The 17088-nt window shown below is 44.7% G+C and overlaps 2 long non-coding RNA genes across 3 annotated transcripts; both read left to right on the top strand.

Annotated features, from left to right (window-relative positions):
• Window positions 5406-10383, top strand: LOC107985323 (uncharacterized). Its single transcript, XR_001738491.2, has 3 exons — window positions 5406-5564; window positions 9711-9997; window positions 10278-10383. It is a non-coding gene; the product is annotated as an uncharacterized LOC107985323 (long non-coding RNA).
• Window positions 10384-12801: 2418 nt separating this feature from the next.
• On the top strand, window positions 12802-16858 carry LOC102724046 (uncharacterized). 2 transcript variants are annotated; one of them, XR_001738490.1, is made up of 4 exons: window positions 12802-12903; window positions 14213-14325; window positions 14423-14599; window positions 15266-15759. It is a non-coding gene; the product is annotated as an uncharacterized LOC102724046 (long non-coding RNA). The 2 variants fall into 2 exon arrangements; XR_007066892.1 differs by having other exon boundaries at window positions 14213-16858.
• Window positions 16859-17088: the final 230 nt, after the last annotated feature.

Raw genomic sequence — 17088 nt, 5'->3', positions numbered from 1 at the left:
CTGCCCATGCTTCTTCCTCCCCATGGAATTTCTTCTCCCCATCCTACCACTCGTCTGCCTGATGAATTTCCTTGTTTAGCAAGACTGCCCATCCCTCATGACCCCAGTGACAGATTTTCTGTCACTGATACATGACATTGTGTTGCGCCAGTGTGTTTATGTATGTGTATGGACGGCTTAGTTTGTGAGACACTGCAGTCAGGATCTTGTCTTGTTCATCTGTGTATCGCAGGCCCAGTTTGTGCCTGGCCCACAGTATGTGCTTAGTAAATGTCTTGTGGATGAGTGAAGTATACTGGGAAGCCCAGCCTCCCTCATGGCAACACCTGCTGTTATTAGACTTTCCACTGGAGGGGCAGGGAGGATGAGGGCCTGAGAGAGCAAGATATCCATGGAGGTGCTGAGTGGTAAGCTGAAAAGGGCAGGAGACCACAGGCTGTCAGACACCCCTGAACACTATTTCAAATGGCCAGGCATGGCACAGGCCTCCTGGGTAGTGGGACAGTGGCAGCCTGGATTAGCAGCTAGGAACGGGGCTAGAATGGAGAGCTGAGGGGGTGGGGAGGAAAACAGAACCCACATGAATTTGCAGTGAATAAGGTCTCCTGGAACCCTGTGCTAAGAAATACAGTAAAACAGGGCCAGGCACTGGTGGCTCATGCCTGTAATCCCAGCACTTTGGGAGGCTAAGGTGGGCCAATCACTTGAGGTCAGGAGTTTGAGACCAGCCTGCCCAACATGGTGAAACCCCGTTTCTACTAAAAATACAAAAATTAGCTGGGTGTGGTGGTGCACACCTGTAATCCCAGCTACTAGGGAGGCTGAGGCAGGAGAATTCCTCGAACCCAAGAGGCGGAGATTGCAGTGAGCCAAGATGGCACTACTGCACTCCTGGGTGACAGAGCGAGATCCTAACTCAAAAAAAAAAAAAAAGAAGGAAGGAGACAAAACAAAAGTATACTGTGTCAGTAACAGGTATAACCGCAAATCAGGAAGACTGTGGAAAGACCACTCTGCTCGGTTTCATGCCCTCCTGTCCCACCTGCTGCTCAGCCATGGTTTTCCCCCAGCTCTAGGGGGTGGGAGGGGCACCCAGGACACTGAAGAAATCTCCTGGTCAGAACACCTTGTATGAACAGGACTCCTAGGGAAAGGGGTTTCCTAGTCCGGCTAGGGGTTGGAGGTAGTGCTACACCAGGGACCTCCCTTGGTTTGGGTGACCATCGCTATGACTCTGTTTTCCAAACCAAACCTGGGACATGTAAAATGACAAGTGCAGGTGTCTTTACAGGAAGAACAAGCTGAAACACAGATAACTCTCAACATAGGAAAGGAGTCTATCCCACAGCCTTTTCTAATCTTCTTATTTAAAAACACGAATTACAGGTAATTTTCCTAATGAAACACATTTAAAAGGCATCTTTTGTGGTCTCTGTATAGAGTGTATGGGGGACCTGTTCATGTCTACATCCTAGCCACTGTTAGTTTCAACATACCACTCTATTTCAAAACTTCCCTTTTCTGGCAAAGATCCAAAACTTACTAAAATTCTTTTGTCTTCTTTCCCATGGTCAGGCCCAGCAGTTGGAATTCTTTTTGAGGCCATTTTCCCAAGTCTTTATCACGTCACAAGACTTGCTGTGTACATGGCAAAAGGAAGGCCCAACGGAGCCACATTGGGAAGTGGGCCCTGGGGAGTCTGCTGAGACACTGGTTGCTAAGTGACTGCCCTGTCTTCCATGGCGCAGTGATTCAAAGCCAGGCCTCAGGAAATAGATAAATTCCACATAGCACAGACCTCTGGGGTCACTCCAAAATGGTGAGAAACTACCACAGTTCAATCTCAGAATGGCTAGAGCTTTCTGTAGTTGAAACTGCAACTATTCTGGAAAGATCTAGAATATTGACTAGAGCTGCTGAAAACTTCAAAGAGAATCCCACTCATGCCAAATACAACTGACTCTGAAAATCCCTTGCCAACCACGTGCACTTGCAGTGAAGAATGTTTTAGAGAGTCTTGATATTATGTAAAGCAAATGCGGTTTGAAGTTTTAAATCATGAAAGAACCACGTTAAGAGGACAAGAGACTGTGGAGTAAAAGTTTAAGATAGTTAAATGCTCATGTACCACAATGTAAAATTGATTACAAAAAAGTCTACAATATTAAATCAAGAAATAGTGTTCCAAATATATATATTTAGAAGTATGAAAATGCCAGAAGAAAGAACCATACAAATTAATGATGATTGCCTGAGGAAGTTCTGCCCAGTTCTTCCATTGGGAGCATCTAGAAAAGCTGGAGAAACTATTTTTTTAGAATCTATTTAAAGACACGGGAAAGTTGCAAGGTAGTAAATAGGGCCAAGAGGCAAGAGAAGAAGGAAATCGAGAAAGCTGACTACAATGCAATTAAGACCATCTATTACCAAAAAAAGACTATCAGTGAATGAAAAGGGAAACTTTAGCATGGAGGGAGATATTTGTAATACACGTATCCAAAAAGGACTCACAGGCAAAATCTAAAAGAACTTCTACAAATCAATAAGAAAAAGACTACAGAAAAGAAAAATGGACATGACACTTAAGAATTTCACAAAAGGCTATCCAATGTCCAATAAGGAAACGAAAAGATACTCAACCTCCTTTAGTGATCAGAGACACGCAAATTGATACAACATTGCAATCCCACTACCCACCCACCAGAATGGCTAAAATTAAGATGACTGACAGTACCAAGTATTGGCAAGGCTGGGGAGCAATTGAAACTTTCCTGCGTGATTGGTGAGAATGTAAATTGGCATACTATAAAGCAGGGTTCCCCAACCCCCAGGCCATGGACCCATACTGGTCTGTTAGGAAGCGGGTCACATAGCAGGAGGTGAGCGGCAGGCTAGCAAGCTAAACTTCATCTGTGTTTGCAGCCACTCCTCATCGCTTGCATTACTGCCTGAGCTCCACCTCCTATCAGATCAGCTGCGGCATTAGATTCTCATAGGAGCTTGAACTTCGTGTACGAGGGATCTAGGTTGTTTGACCCTTATGAGAATCTAATGCCTGATGATCCATCATTGTCTTCCATCACCCCCAGATGGGACCATCTAGTTGCAGGAAAACAAGCTCAGGGATCCCACTGATTCTACATTGTGGTGAGCTGTATAATTATTTCATTATATATTACAATGTAATAATAATAGAAATAAAGTGCACAATAAATGTAATGGGCTCGAATCATTCTGAAATCACCCCACCCCTATCCCCCGCCAGTCGGTGGAAAAATTGTCTTCCATGAAACTGGTCCCTGGTGCCAAAAAGTTGAAGACTGCTACTTTTATTTTTTATTTTGTTTTATTTTTTAGATGAAGTCTAACTCTGTTGCCCAGGCTGGAGTGCAGCAGCACAATCTCAGCTCACTGTAACCTCCACCTCCCAGGTTTAAGCAATTCTCCTGCCTCAGCCTCCCAACTAGCTGGGATTACAGGTGCGTGCCACCACACTCAGCTAATTTTTTTGTCTTTTTAGTAGAGATGGGGTTTCAGCATGTTGGCCAGACTGGTCTTGAACTCCTGACCTCAAGCAATCTGCCTGCCTGGGCTCCCAAAGTGCTGGGATTACAGGCGTGAGCCACTGTGCCCAGCCAGAGACTGCTACCTTAAAGAACAGTTAGTCGTCTACTAAAGTTGAACCACACATGCCCTGTGATGCTGAAATTCTACTCATAAGTATATACACACTAGAAATCCATGCACTTATGCGTGAAAACACACATAGAAAAACGTTGGTAGCAGCATTATTTGTAGTAGCCAACATTGGAAACGACCCACATGTCCATCAACCACAAAATGGATCAATAAATTGTGGTAATTGAAAGCCCTACAGAAATGACAATTAGCCAATTATAGCTACAGGTAACAACATAAGTGAATCTTGAAAAAAATGTTAAGTCAAAGAAGCAAGGCATAATGATGAAATACCAAGTGGTTGCAATTTGAGAAATTTTAACAAGGCAGAACTCATCTGTGGTGATAATGAGGACAGTAGCCACCTCTGGGGAGGAGTGAGTAGCGCTGGAGGGGGCTTCCAGGATGCTGTGTATGTTTTATGGCCTGACCTGGGTGACAGCAACACTTTTGATAATACATCTTATCGGCACTGATGAATTTGTTCACTTTTCTGTGAGATACTAGTTTTCCATTTAAAAAACAATTTTTTGAGATGGAGTCTCACTCTGTCACCCAGGCTGGAGTGCAGTGGCGTGATCTTGGCTCACTGCAACCTCTGCCTCCCGGGTTGGAGAAATTCTCCTGCCTCAGCCTCCCAAGTAGCTAGGATTACAGGTGCATGCAACCAGGCTCAGATAATTTTTGTATTTTTAGTACAGACAGGGTTTCACCATGTTGGCCAAGCTGGTCTTGAACTCCTGACCTCAGGTGATCCACCCACCTCGGCCTCCCAGAGTGTTGGGATATGAATTAGACAGATTTGTTGGTTAAAGGAATAGAAACATGTAGCAGACTAATTCATGTAGAGCTTATGGGACATTCTTCCCAGGATACCTTATTTTTGTCAGGGATTGCCTCTGATCTAAATGTGTTTCCATGCTCTGCTCCCACCAAAGGAAAAACACAAGTGATTATCCTGGAGGGCTTAGGGAGATTGGAGGAGTCAGGGAACTGCAAGCTTTTATTATGAGTATGTGATATTATTTAAAGTTTAACTCTGTGCATGCATTTCAGTAATAATACTTAAAACAGACAAAAACAAAAATAAATATGTACTTAGATAAAATTGAGATAGTAACTCCTGCCCTTGGCAGAAGACAATCTAGAAATAATTAGCCAAAATTCTAAAATTAAGCCACCAACAAAAAAAATTATTTCAACAGGTGAATATACATACACATGATATATACACACACATATATAATGTATAGATCATATATTTTATGTATAATGTTTTACCCAATTTTATTTTTCTTAAGATTAAAGGCACTTTTAATCTCTTTTACTTAGCAATTAAATATTTGATTTCTTCATGGCCACAATAACTTCCATTTAGATAGACCTTTTAAGAAATTAAATATTTTTATTTCACAGAAAATTCCATGGAAAGAACTCACTAAGGCTTCCATGGTCCTCTCAGACACCACAGTCCAGGAGAGTCTGACAAGGTGGCTTTATTCCTGAAACTCAGGGACCTGATCCAACGCGCTGGAAATTGTGTTTCTTTTCCCAGCTCAGGCTATTCACCTCAGGCCCCTGTTTTCCTGTCTCCTCCCCAGGAAGGTTGTGATAAAAATCAATGACATCATGTCTCACTGGGCCCCAGCCACCCTTCAGGAAGCAGGTGCTTTGGCTGAGTGGAGGCTGGGGCATTTTTCTGCTGCGCTGGCCTGCATCTGCCTTTCGAGTAGCCCTAGAGGCCTAACGCTTGAGGTCACCTTCATGGTTTTTCCAGTGACCTTGGCCATTAATGAGCTCCCACCGCTTCCCCAGCTGCAGCTGTATTATAGCGCCAGAGTCTTCCAAGCCTGCAGGTTGTGCCAAGCCTGGAGGGATTTGCAAAAGTAAGTAGCCAGTGGTTTCCGTGCACTGGTCCCTGTGAAAAGAAAAGAAGCTTTTTGGAGTGGGAACTAGGGATCACCACTGGTGATTTAAGGAAGACACTCAGGCTTAGGTGTGAAACAAAGGAGGAGAAGCTGGTGTGGGGAGTTCCTGGCTGGCAAGGGACAACCCCAATGTGAGCCTCGGGTGGGGAGTTCCCCAGCTGGCTTCTTCTGGGCTTGGAATAAGAATGCGGAGTTGCAGTTTTAGCTGTGTGTTGTTTCACCCCTTGGAGCTTCAGGGTTTGGTTTGTTGTTGTTGTTGTTTTCCCCCAGCATTAAAATGTATATAGAATATAGAACTAATTAGCACAGTTCCTAGCACAAAATAAATGCACATTAACACCTGGTAGTGCAGAGAGAGAAACTATGTTGTAGAAAAGTTGACCATCTAGGTTCTCTGGGGTCCACAGGTCTGCTTCTAGTTCCCCTGGTCTGGACACAGTTCCTTGTCCCTGGGGTGAATCTAATCTCTTTGGAGGTCAAGGCAATACGTCTGGAAATCTGAGAAGAAAATCAGTAAACTGGGTTTTTCTTAAACATACAATAAAATGGATACATTCTAAGTGTAAATTTCAATGTCTACACCCATGTAACCATTACCTCCATCAGCATATAGAATGTTTCCTTTACTCCAGAAAGTTGCCTCTTTCGCTTTCCTGCCAATCCTTACCCCTGCCCCAACTCAGACAACCACTGTTGTAATCTATCAACATAGATTGATTTTGGCTGCTCTAGAACTTCACATCAATGGAATCATTCAATCAACATTTTGCATCTGTCTTCCTTTACGTAACATAATTTTTTGAGATGCTTCCAGGATATTATAATATCAGTGAGTTTTCCTTTTTATTGCAGTGTGGATATATTACAATTTATCCAGTCTCCTGTTGAGGGACACCTGGGTTGTTTCCAGTTTTTAGCTATTAGAAATAAAGTTACTATGTCCATTCATTTACAAATCTTTTTGTGGACATGTTTTCCTTTCTCTTGGATAAATATGTAGGAGTAAAATTGCCAGGTCATAAGGTAGGTGTATGTTTTCCTGTTGTATTAGTCTGTTTTCATGCTGTTGATAAAGGCATACCTGAGACTGGGCGATTTACAAAAGAAAGAGGTTTATAGGCCAGGCACGGTGGTTCACACCTGTAGTCCCAGCATTTTGGGAGGCTGAGGTGTGTGGATCACCTGAGGTCAAGAGTTTGAGACCAGCCTGGCCAACATGGCGAAACCCCGTCTCTACTAAAAATACAAAAATTAGCCAGGCATGGTGGCATGTGCCTGTAATCCCATCTACTAGGGGGGCTGAGGCAGGAGGATCACTTGAACCCAGGAGGCGGAGGTTGCAGTGAGCTGAGATTGTGCCACTGCACAATCTGCACTGCAGCCTGGGCAACAGAGCAAGACTTCATCTCAAAAAAAAAAAAAAAAGAAAGAGGTTTGTTGGACTTACAGTTCCATGTGGCTGGGGAGGCCTCACAATCATGGTGGAAGGTGAAAGGCATGTCTCACATGGCGGCAGACAAGAGAAGAGAGCTTGTGCAGGGAAACTCCCCCTTACTACACCATCAGATCTCATGAGACTCATTTGCTATCATGAGAACAGCACAGGAAAGACGTGACCCTACGATTCAATTACCTTTCACTAGGTCCCTCCCACAACACATGGAAATTCAAGATGAAATTTGGGTGGGGACACAGCCAAACCATAACATTCTGCCCCTGGCCCCTCCCAAATTTCATGTCCTCACATTTCAAAGACAATCATGCCTTCCCAACAGTCCCCCAAAGTCTTAACTCATTTTAGCATTAACTGAAAAGTCCAGAGTCTAATGTCTCATCTGAGACCAGGCAAGTCCCTTCTGCCTATGAGCCTGTAAAATCAAAAGCAAGTTAGTTACTTCCTAGATACAATGAGAATACAGGCATTGGGTAAATACAGCCATTCCAAATGGGAGAAATTGGCCAAAATTAAGGGGTTACAGGACCCATGCAAGTCTGAAATCCAACAGGGTGGTCAAATCTTAAAGCTCCAAAATGATCTCCTTTAACTCCATGTCTCACATCCAGATCACGCTGATGCAAGAGGTAGGTTCCCATGGTCTTGGGCAGCTCTGCCCCTGTGGCTTTGCAGTGTACGGCCTCTCTCCCAGCTGCTTTCATGGGCTGGCATTGAGTGTCTGCAGCTTTTCCAGACACACAGTACAAGCTGTCAGTGGATCTACCATTCTGGGGTCTGGAGGACAGTGGCCCTCTTCTCACAGCTTCACTAGGTGGTACTTCAGGAGGGACTCTCTGTGGGGGTTCTGACCCCACATTTCCCTTCTGCACTGCCCTAGCAGAGGTTCCCCATGAGAGCCCTGCCCCTGCAGCAAACTTCTGCCTGGACATCCAGGTGTTTCCACACATCCTCTGAAATCTAGGCAGAGGTTCCCGAAACCTCAATTCTTGACTTCAGTGCACTCGCAGGCTCAAAACCATGTGGCAGCTGCCAAGGCTTGAGGCTTGCACCCTCTGAAGCCACGGCCCGAGCTCTACATTGGTCCCTTTCAGCCACAGCTGAAGCAGCTGGGACCAAGTCCCTAAGCTGCACACAACATGGGGAACCTGAGCCCAGCCCATGAAACCACTTTTTCCTTCCAGGCTTCTAGGCCTGTGATGGGAGGGGCTGCCATGAAGACCTCTGACATGCCCTGGAGACATTTTCCCCATTGTCTTGGGGATTAACATTTGGCTTCTCGTTACTTATGCAAATTTCTGCAGCGGGCTTGAATTTCTCCTTAGAAAATGGGATTTTCTTTTCTATCTCATTATCAAGTGGCAAATTTCCTGAACTTGTATGCTCTGCTTGCCTTATAAAACTGAATGCCTTTAACAGCACTCAAGTCACCTCTTGAATACTTTGCTGCTTAGAAATTTCTTCTGCCAGATACCCTAAATCATCTCTCTCAAGTTCAAAGTTCCACAGATCTCTAGGGCAAGGACAAAATGCCACCAGTCTCTTTGCTAAAACATAGCAAGAGCCACCTTTGCTCCAGTTCCCAACAAGTTTCTCATTTCCATCTGGGACCACCTCAGCCTGGACTTAATTGTCCATATCGCTATTAGCATTTTGGGCAAAGCCATTCAACAAGTCTCTAGGAAGTTCCAAACTTTTGTACATTTTCCTGTCTTCTTCTGAGCCCTCCAAACTGTTCCAACCCCTGCCTGTTACCCAGTTCCAAAGTTGCTTCCACATTTTTGGGTATCTGTTCAGCAGCACCCCACTCTACTGATATCAATTTACTGTATTAGTCCATTTTCACACTGCTGATAAAGACATACCCGGACTGGGCAGTTTACAAAAGAAGGTTTATTGGACTCACAGTTCCATGTGGTTGGGGAGGCCTCACAATCACGGCAGAAGGTGAAAGTCACATCTTAGATGGTGGCAGACAAGAGAAAAGAGCTTTTCAGGGAAACTCTCCCTTATAATACCATCAGATCTTGTGAGACTCATTTGCTATCACGAGAACAGCATGGGAAAGACCTGCCTCCATGATTCAATTACCTTTCACTGGGTGCCTCCCACAACACATGGGAATTCAAGATGAGATTTGGGTGGGGACACAGCCAAACCATATCACCTGTGAAAGAAACCACCAAGCTGTTTTCTAAAATAATGGTAACATTTTATACTTCTCCCAGCTATGTATGAGGTTCCAGTTGCTCCACATCCTTGTCAACACTTGATATGGTCAGTCTTTTGCATTTTAGCCATCCTATTGGGTGTGAAGTGGTAGCTCATAGTAGTTTCATTTGCATTTCCCTAATGACTAATATGCTGAGTACCTCTTAACATGCTTATTAGCCATTCATATATCTTCTTTTATGGAGTGTCTGTTCAAGATTTGTGCTCATTTTAACTGAGTTGCTTGTCTTTTTAGTATTTATTTGTAGGCATGTTTTATGTATTCAGGTACAATTCTTTATCAGATATATGTATTGCTATTATTTTCTCACACTCTGTGGTTTGCCTTTTCATTTTATTAACAATCAGAAAGTTTGACATTTTGATGAAGTCCAATTTATCTATTTATTTTATGGTTTGTGTTCTTGTATCCTGCCTAGGAAACATTTGCCTACACCAAGATCATGAAGATGTTTTCTTCTAGAGGATTTCTAGTTTTAGCTCTTTATGTTTAAATTGAGGGAAACTAAATGTATGGCCTTAAGGAGCTGTTCCAGCCTGAGACTATACACCAGCAGAAAGAAACTCACAGCACTGAAAATATTGTTCTCCGCCCTCCCTCATCCCTCTTCCTTCTGAATGGGAAAAAAGAGTAAGAAGCTTTTCCCTCCAGCTGAAAGCAAAGGAGTACTCTAGCCCTCTGTGATAGCTGATGGCAGCATCTTTGGTAAGCAAATGGATCGTCTCTGCCAAGAAGGAAGAAAAAAAGAAGCATTAATTGGGCACCTTCTACTTGCCAGGCTCCATTCTAGAGAATTTACCTAAATCATCTCATTGAATTCACATGACTAGATAATGTAAAGAGTGGTCACCTCCCCATTTCACAGATCAGGAAACTGAGGCTCCGACTAGAAAGATGAAGCAACTTGCCTAGCTAGTGATTCCAATCTGGGTTTTGCTGATTCTTTGCTTAACCTTCCTGAAATGCCCCTTTTCTTCTCCTCAAGGTGGCTCTCCCAGAGAGGCTGCTCTCTTTGCTGGAATTTGCCTTGTTCTCTCCTCACTGCTGAAGCACTGTCACTGCGTCCTAAAAAAACACCACAGTATCCGTAAGACGTTGCCTGTCATTGGAGGTTTGCTCCTTCTCTCTATCTCAGACAGGATTCAATGAAGAAAACAGAAGCCACTGTATGTACTCCAGGTGTTTAAAGTTTTAATTTAGAGAATTAAGGGTATACTGAAATATTGCAAGACCTGGGGTAGTGGAGGTCAGGTAAGCTGACACCAAAGACCTCATCCCAAAACACTCAAAGAGTGGTACATGTCCCACACTTGTGGGCAGCAGCAAGCATGATTGTTCCCAAATCTCAACTCCTTACAGATCTGGCTGTAACTACCCCTGAAGAACAAAGACCTTTCCCCCACCTCTGTCCTAATCTCAGGAGAGCTTCTCATTTGCAAACTCTAACCAGGAATCAGACAGGGACAGAGTTCAGGGAAGTATTCCTGGCTTTGCTTCCCTCTGCAGAAGGGACTTTGGCTTTGAGGGAGGTCCTGGGGTTGGTGGTAATGCCAAGTTGACCTTGGACAATCCAGCACTCTCTAAGGATGGCTCCAGCCCCTCGAGGGGAGTCAGCACCCTCTGAATAGCATTTTCAGGCCTCTCCCAGGAAGCTGGGGCTTGGAGTGGGAGTGTCCCCCCAGGAGAGTGGCAGAGGCAGGATGATTCAGGGTCAGCCCAAACCTTACAGATATTCCCCGAGGTGGCCAACGCAACCATGAGCAAGAGCCGAGGCCTTAGCCAACAAGACAATGGAGGGCAGCTCATATGAAGGGCAAAGCAAAGGCCAAAGTGAGAGAAGTAAGCGCTGTGACATGGAGACCAGCTCAGGATAGGATAGATGGCTCAGGAACCAGGCTGTTAAGGAGAGAATACTCAGCATTTCTGAGAACACGGCAGTTCGAGGACCCGTGCTGGTCTGGGCCCGCTCCCCCAGCCCCTGATGGGGGCCTGTGTGCTCTGCAAAGAGCTGTGCCCTGTGATGGGGGGTCTGTGACCTGGGAGGGAATACACTCAATCTCACATGGGTTGTGGAAGCCTGTGCTCCCCCCACAGCCAGGGAAGATCATGAGCTGCTTTGTGAGTGTGAGACATTACAGATACAACAGCCAATTGACTCAAACAAAACTATTGCAGGAAAGAAAAGGCTTTCTGAATTATGGAGTGCTGTGGGCTGAGTTGTGGACCCCCAAAATTTATATGTTGAAGTCCTACCCCTAGTGCCTCAGAATGTTCCTTTATTTGGAGATAGGGTCTGATAGAGTTTAGTTATTTGTCCCCCCAAATCTCATGTTGAAATGTAGTCCCCAGTGTGGAAGGTGGGGCCTGGTGGGAGGTGAGTGGCTCGTGGAGGAGGATTTCTCATGATTGGTTCAGCCCCATCCTCATGGTGCAGTCCTCATGACGGTGAGTGAGTTCTCGTGAGATCGGGTGGGTTGAAAGTGTGTGGCCCCTCCTTCTCCTTCTCTTGCACCTGCTTTGGCCATGAGATCTGCCTGCTCCACTTGCCTTCCGCCCTGAGTAAAAGCTCCCTGAGGCCTCCCCAGAAGCTGAGTAGATGCCATAGCCATGCTTCCTGTACAGCCCACAGAACCGTGAGCCAGTTAAACCTCTTTCCTTGATAAGTTACCTACCCTCAGGTATTTCTTTATAGCAGCGCAAGAACAGACTCATACAGGATCACTGCATGTGGAATCAGGTAAGACAAGGTCATACTGGAGTAGGAAAGGGGTTAATCCAATATGACTGGTGTCCTTAAAAAATGGGAAATTCATCGAGGGCAGATTGGATAAAGGAAATGTTGTACATATACACTATGGAATACTTCACAGCTATAAAAAAGGAGAAGATTATGTCCTTTGCAGGTACAGGAATGGAGCTAGAGGTCATCATCCTTAGCAAACTAATGCAGGAACAGAAAACCAAATGCCACATGTTCTCACTTATAAGTTGAAGGTAAATAATGAGAACACGTGGACACATAGAGGGGAATAGCACACACTGGGGCCTACTTGAGGGTAGAAGGTGGGAGGAAGGAGAGGATCAGAAAAAACGATTGGTTACTAGGCTTACTACCTGGTTGATGAAATAATCTGTACAGCAAACCCCAGTATCAAGAGTTTACCTATATAACAAAACTGCACATGTACCCCTGAACCTAAAATAAAAGCTTTTTATAAAAAGAAAAGAAAAAGGGCTGGGCATGATGGCTCACACCTGTAATCCCAGGACTTTAGGACACCCAGGTGGGTGGACTGCTAAGCTCAGGAGTTCAAGACCAGCCTAGGCAACATTGCGAAACCCCGTCTCTACAAAAATTAGCCAGGCATGGTGGCATGTACCTGAAGTCCCATCTACTTGCAGGGCTGAGGCCAGAGGATCGCTTGAACCCAGGAGGTGGAGATTGTAGTGAGTTGTATTTGTGCCACTGCACTCCAGCCTCGTTGACAGAGCAAGGGCAAGACCTTTTCTTTAAAAAAAAAAAAAGAAAGAAAGAAAAGAAAAAGAAAAGACAAGAAAAGAAAAGAAAAGGATATAATCAGCCAAATTCAAAATGTGTGAAATGCTACAAGGTAAGTGAACTAATTTTTTCCAATAAATAAATGATAAGAAAAAAGAGAGAAGAGGAAACTACTATAGATTTTAAGAAATTTAAGACATATCAACCAAACACAATGTGTACATAGACCTTGTTGAGATCCTGAACAAATTGACTTTTGGGGAAATGTGAACACTGAGTAGCTATCTGGTAATACTGGGTTTTTTGGTTTTGGTTTTGTTTTTTGAGACAGAGTCTCACTCTGTCACTCAGGCTGGAGTGCAGTGGTGTGATCTCGGCTCACTGCAACCTCTGCCTCCTGGGTTCAAGTGATTCTCCTGCTTCAGCCTCCTGTGTTGCTGGGAATATAGGTGCACGCCACCATGCCTGGCTAATTTTTGTACTTTTAGTAGAGACAGGGTCTCGCTATATTGGCCAGGCTGGTCCCTAATTCCTGACCTCAAGTGATCTACCCACCTCAGCCTCCCAAAGTGCTGGGATTACAGGTGTCAGCCACCATGACTGGCCAGGTGATACTGTTTTGTTCAGTTAATAGTGAGATAATTGTATCAAAATTATGTATTTAAGAGTTCTTGGCTGGGTGTGGTGGCTCACGTCTGTAATCCCAGCACTTTGTGGGAGGCCAAGGCAGGTGGATCACTTGAGATCAGGAGTTCAAGACCAGCCTGGCCAACATGGCAAAACCCTGTCTCTACTAAACACACACACAATTAGCTGGGCATGGTGGCATGCACCTGTTAGCCCAGCTACTCAGGAGGTTGAGGCATGAGAATTGCTTGAACCCAGGTAGTGGAGGTTGCAGTGAGCCAAGATAGCACCACTGCACTACAGCCTGGGCGACAGACTGAGACTCTGTGTCAAAAAAAAAAAAAAAAAAAGTTATCATTTAGAAGACATGTGACTGACATGTATGTAAATAAAATGATAAGGAGAATTTGCTTTAAAATATTTCCATAGAGATAGGTGCAGGGAGGAGGAACAAATGAGATAAGATTGGCCATTTGTTGGTCATTGTCGACACTATGTAATGGGTACATGGGGGTTCATTATACTATTCTATTTTTGTGTATGTTCAAAATTTTCTACTATTAAAAGTTTTTTTAATTTTAAAATAAAAAATAAGTAAAAATGGGAAATTTAGAGGTAGACACTCATGCAGGAAAAGTGCCAGGTGAAGATGAAGGCAGGGATCGTAGTGAAGCTTCTACAAGCCGAGGATCACCAGCAAACCACCAGAAGCCAAGGGAGAGGCCAGGAACAGACTCTCCCCACAGCCCTCAGAAGGGTCCAACCCTGCTGACACCTTGATCTTGGACTTCCAGCTTCCAGGACTGTGAAACAAGACATTTCTTTGGTTCAAGCCACTCCCTTAGTGCACATTGTTATGGCAGCCATGGAAAACCATCCACAGAGGGTCAGTTCCTATGGAGGTGGGGTGAGTGACGAGATGTTCCTGACTGGGCTGACAACGGAGGACGAGAGAGCTTGGGTGTGGATGGGAAAATAACTAGAAACTTCCCTTGATCTCTCAGCATTCTGTTCCATCCCTGTCACTTCGATGTCTCTCTTTCTTGAATATGGAAGCAGCCCTGGGCCCAGCTGCTGCAGGTGGCCAGGAAGGAGCCTGGGAGGATGACGGGGTTCCTGATCTGATAGAACTGGGCTGTGACTAGGCAGAACCCTGTTCCACCACACACACCCCAGTGGAGGTCAGTACCCCAAATCTGACACCAGGATGTAGCATGTCCATGGAGTCTGTCTGCTGACACCTGTCCCACCCTCCCCTGGCCCGTAACTTTGAGAGATACTGCAATTCCTACCGATGTTGCTGCCATCCTTTATTCAGCCCATTATCAGAAGTTATGACACATTGCAAAATGCTCAGGCTAGTTGAATTTCTGCAACAGGGCAAGGCGGTTAAATCCTGTCCTTCCTGGAGTCTCATTGACCAGGCTTTGAATCCCAATTCTACCATGGATTAGATTTGCAACTTTGGCAAATTGATGAACTCTTCTGAGCTTTGGACTAATAATAGGGTTTTGTGAGGAATACCTGAGATAATGCATGTACAACACCTTGCATGTTGTTTAGCACCTACTAGAAATGCAACCAACTCTAGCTGTTATCGCTAGTTTTTCTCTTGCTCCATCTCCATTCCTGAGATGTGCATGGCTACTCTGTGTTTGTTGTTGGGAAGAGCCGTAGACAGTCGTATCCTCTTCCTGAGAATGGTAACTGAGCTGCCCCCTTGGGACTGTCCAGGGGCTGGCCATTAGCCCCACGAGGCAGCAACAAAACCAACAAGACAAGTCTGTTTACTCTTCTGGTCTATAATTTAAAATGTGTTTGATGCTACTTTTTTTTTTTCTTTTTAGGACGTTCTGTATCTGTGATGAATGACCCCTGCATACATTATATCTTTCAGTAAAAACAGTGGTGTTTCAGTAGTGTTACTAGCTAAGCTGCTTAACTCTCACATTACAGACGTCAGTGAAGCCCCTTGGTAGGTAGTGTCTAAAATTAGATTTATCTGCTTATTTACACAATTATACTCTCATGAGTTTGAATGTTGGGGAAAGATCAAGAAAAAGACCAGATCACTAGATGGCAATAGCACACAAGAGCTTTATTTGGATGAAGCTTGGACAGAATGCATGGAAGGGGAAAGTCCCTTGCAGCAGAAGACCTTCCAGAGGCAGTGGCAGGGCCACCACCAGAAGAAAAGGGCAAGGACACTCCCAGGGGAGAGGAGGATCAGAGAGGAGGTTACAGGTCTAAGAGATGTCACAGGTCTAGAAGAAAAGAAAAGGAGCCAGGTGCAGTGGCTCACACCTGTAATCCCAGCACTTTGGGAGGCCCAGGCGGGCAGATTGCTGAGTTCAGGAGTTTGAGACCAGCCTAGGCAAACATGGTGAAACCCCATCTCTAAAAAAAGATTTAAAAATTAACCAGGCCTGGTGGCATGTACCTGAAGTCTCATTTACTTGGGGGGCTAAGGCTGGAGGATCGTTTGAACCCAAGAGGGTTCATGGTGGGGAGCATCATGGTGAGGAGTCTCTGGGTCAGAGAGCTCCAAAGGACAGCAGCCATTTGGGGTCTTTTGTAGCCCTGAGGTTCGTCTTACCTATGGTGAGAGGGTGTCGGGTGTAGTTTTGCAAATTATCGAAGCAGGCAGGCTCTAAATGGGCAAATAATATTTGGCCTACATTTAAAGCAATTGGATGTGCAAGAATTTGAGTTTGGTGCTGGCAGGCTTGAGTTAACGGTCCTGGGCTGTGGTGTGGAAGTAAACAGCATGGGGGCCAATACACAGGGGCTGTCTTGAACTCGTTCATACAATCCATTTATAACCTGTTTATAACTTGTTTATAACCCATTTATACCACATACCCCTAAAGCAAATACCTAGCAGATAGCATGCAGGGCCTATTTGCCTGGCCTCCTTCAATGGCATCACATTCTCCACCACCACGATGGTTAATATGGACGAGCCCTAGCAGCTGCCCAGTGAAGTCCACACGCTACTGCCCAAACCAGCTCAAGTCCTTAGTTGTCATGAAAATAATGTGAGTTCCCACAGCCGTAAAAGGGAAAGCAGCAAGAGCCACATGAGCATCCCCGGAACCCTGGGAACAGTCATCAGTGTCATCTTCAGGGTCATGTCCCTACAAGCAGTTCTCAGGCTCCTGCTGAGGGTCAGAACAGAGCCGAAGTCACAGGATATCAAAAATGGATAAGCCCAACCTCAGCTCGCAGAGGAATTGCTCAGCTGACAGATGATTGTGTTATCTCAGTGAAGCCAGATGACAATGTACTTGGCCAACGGAACATCTTGGTCAATGGATCTCCAAGTTGGTTATAAAATTAAAGCAAAATAATGCCATTATATGTAAGATGTCATTGATTGTAAGATGCTCCTTTATTTGATGTACCACTAATAAATAAAAACACTGACATTTAAACAATGACAATTGCATAACACATCTGCTTGTTCAATGTTAAATATGAAAAAATGTGCTTTAGAATTGATGAGATGCAGCAGCAAAAACTACTCTCTGTGTATGAGGCATTTGATCTCCCTGGACCTCAGTTTCCCTCGCCACCTCGCACCAATCCTTCCACCTTCTGCCAAGTCTGTTTACTCTTTTGGTCTGTAATTTCCCTAATGTGACAGGGAAGGTCTCTAAAGTCCCTTTCT

Source organism: Homo sapiens, chromosome 1, assembly GCF_000001405.40.
Source record: "Homo sapiens chromosome 1, GRCh38.p14 Primary Assembly".
In the NCBI taxonomy this organism is placed as follows: domain Eukaryota; kingdom Metazoa; phylum Chordata; class Mammalia; order Primates; family Hominidae; genus Homo; species Homo sapiens.
This window is presented reverse-complemented; position numbering and strand designations above follow the sequence as displayed.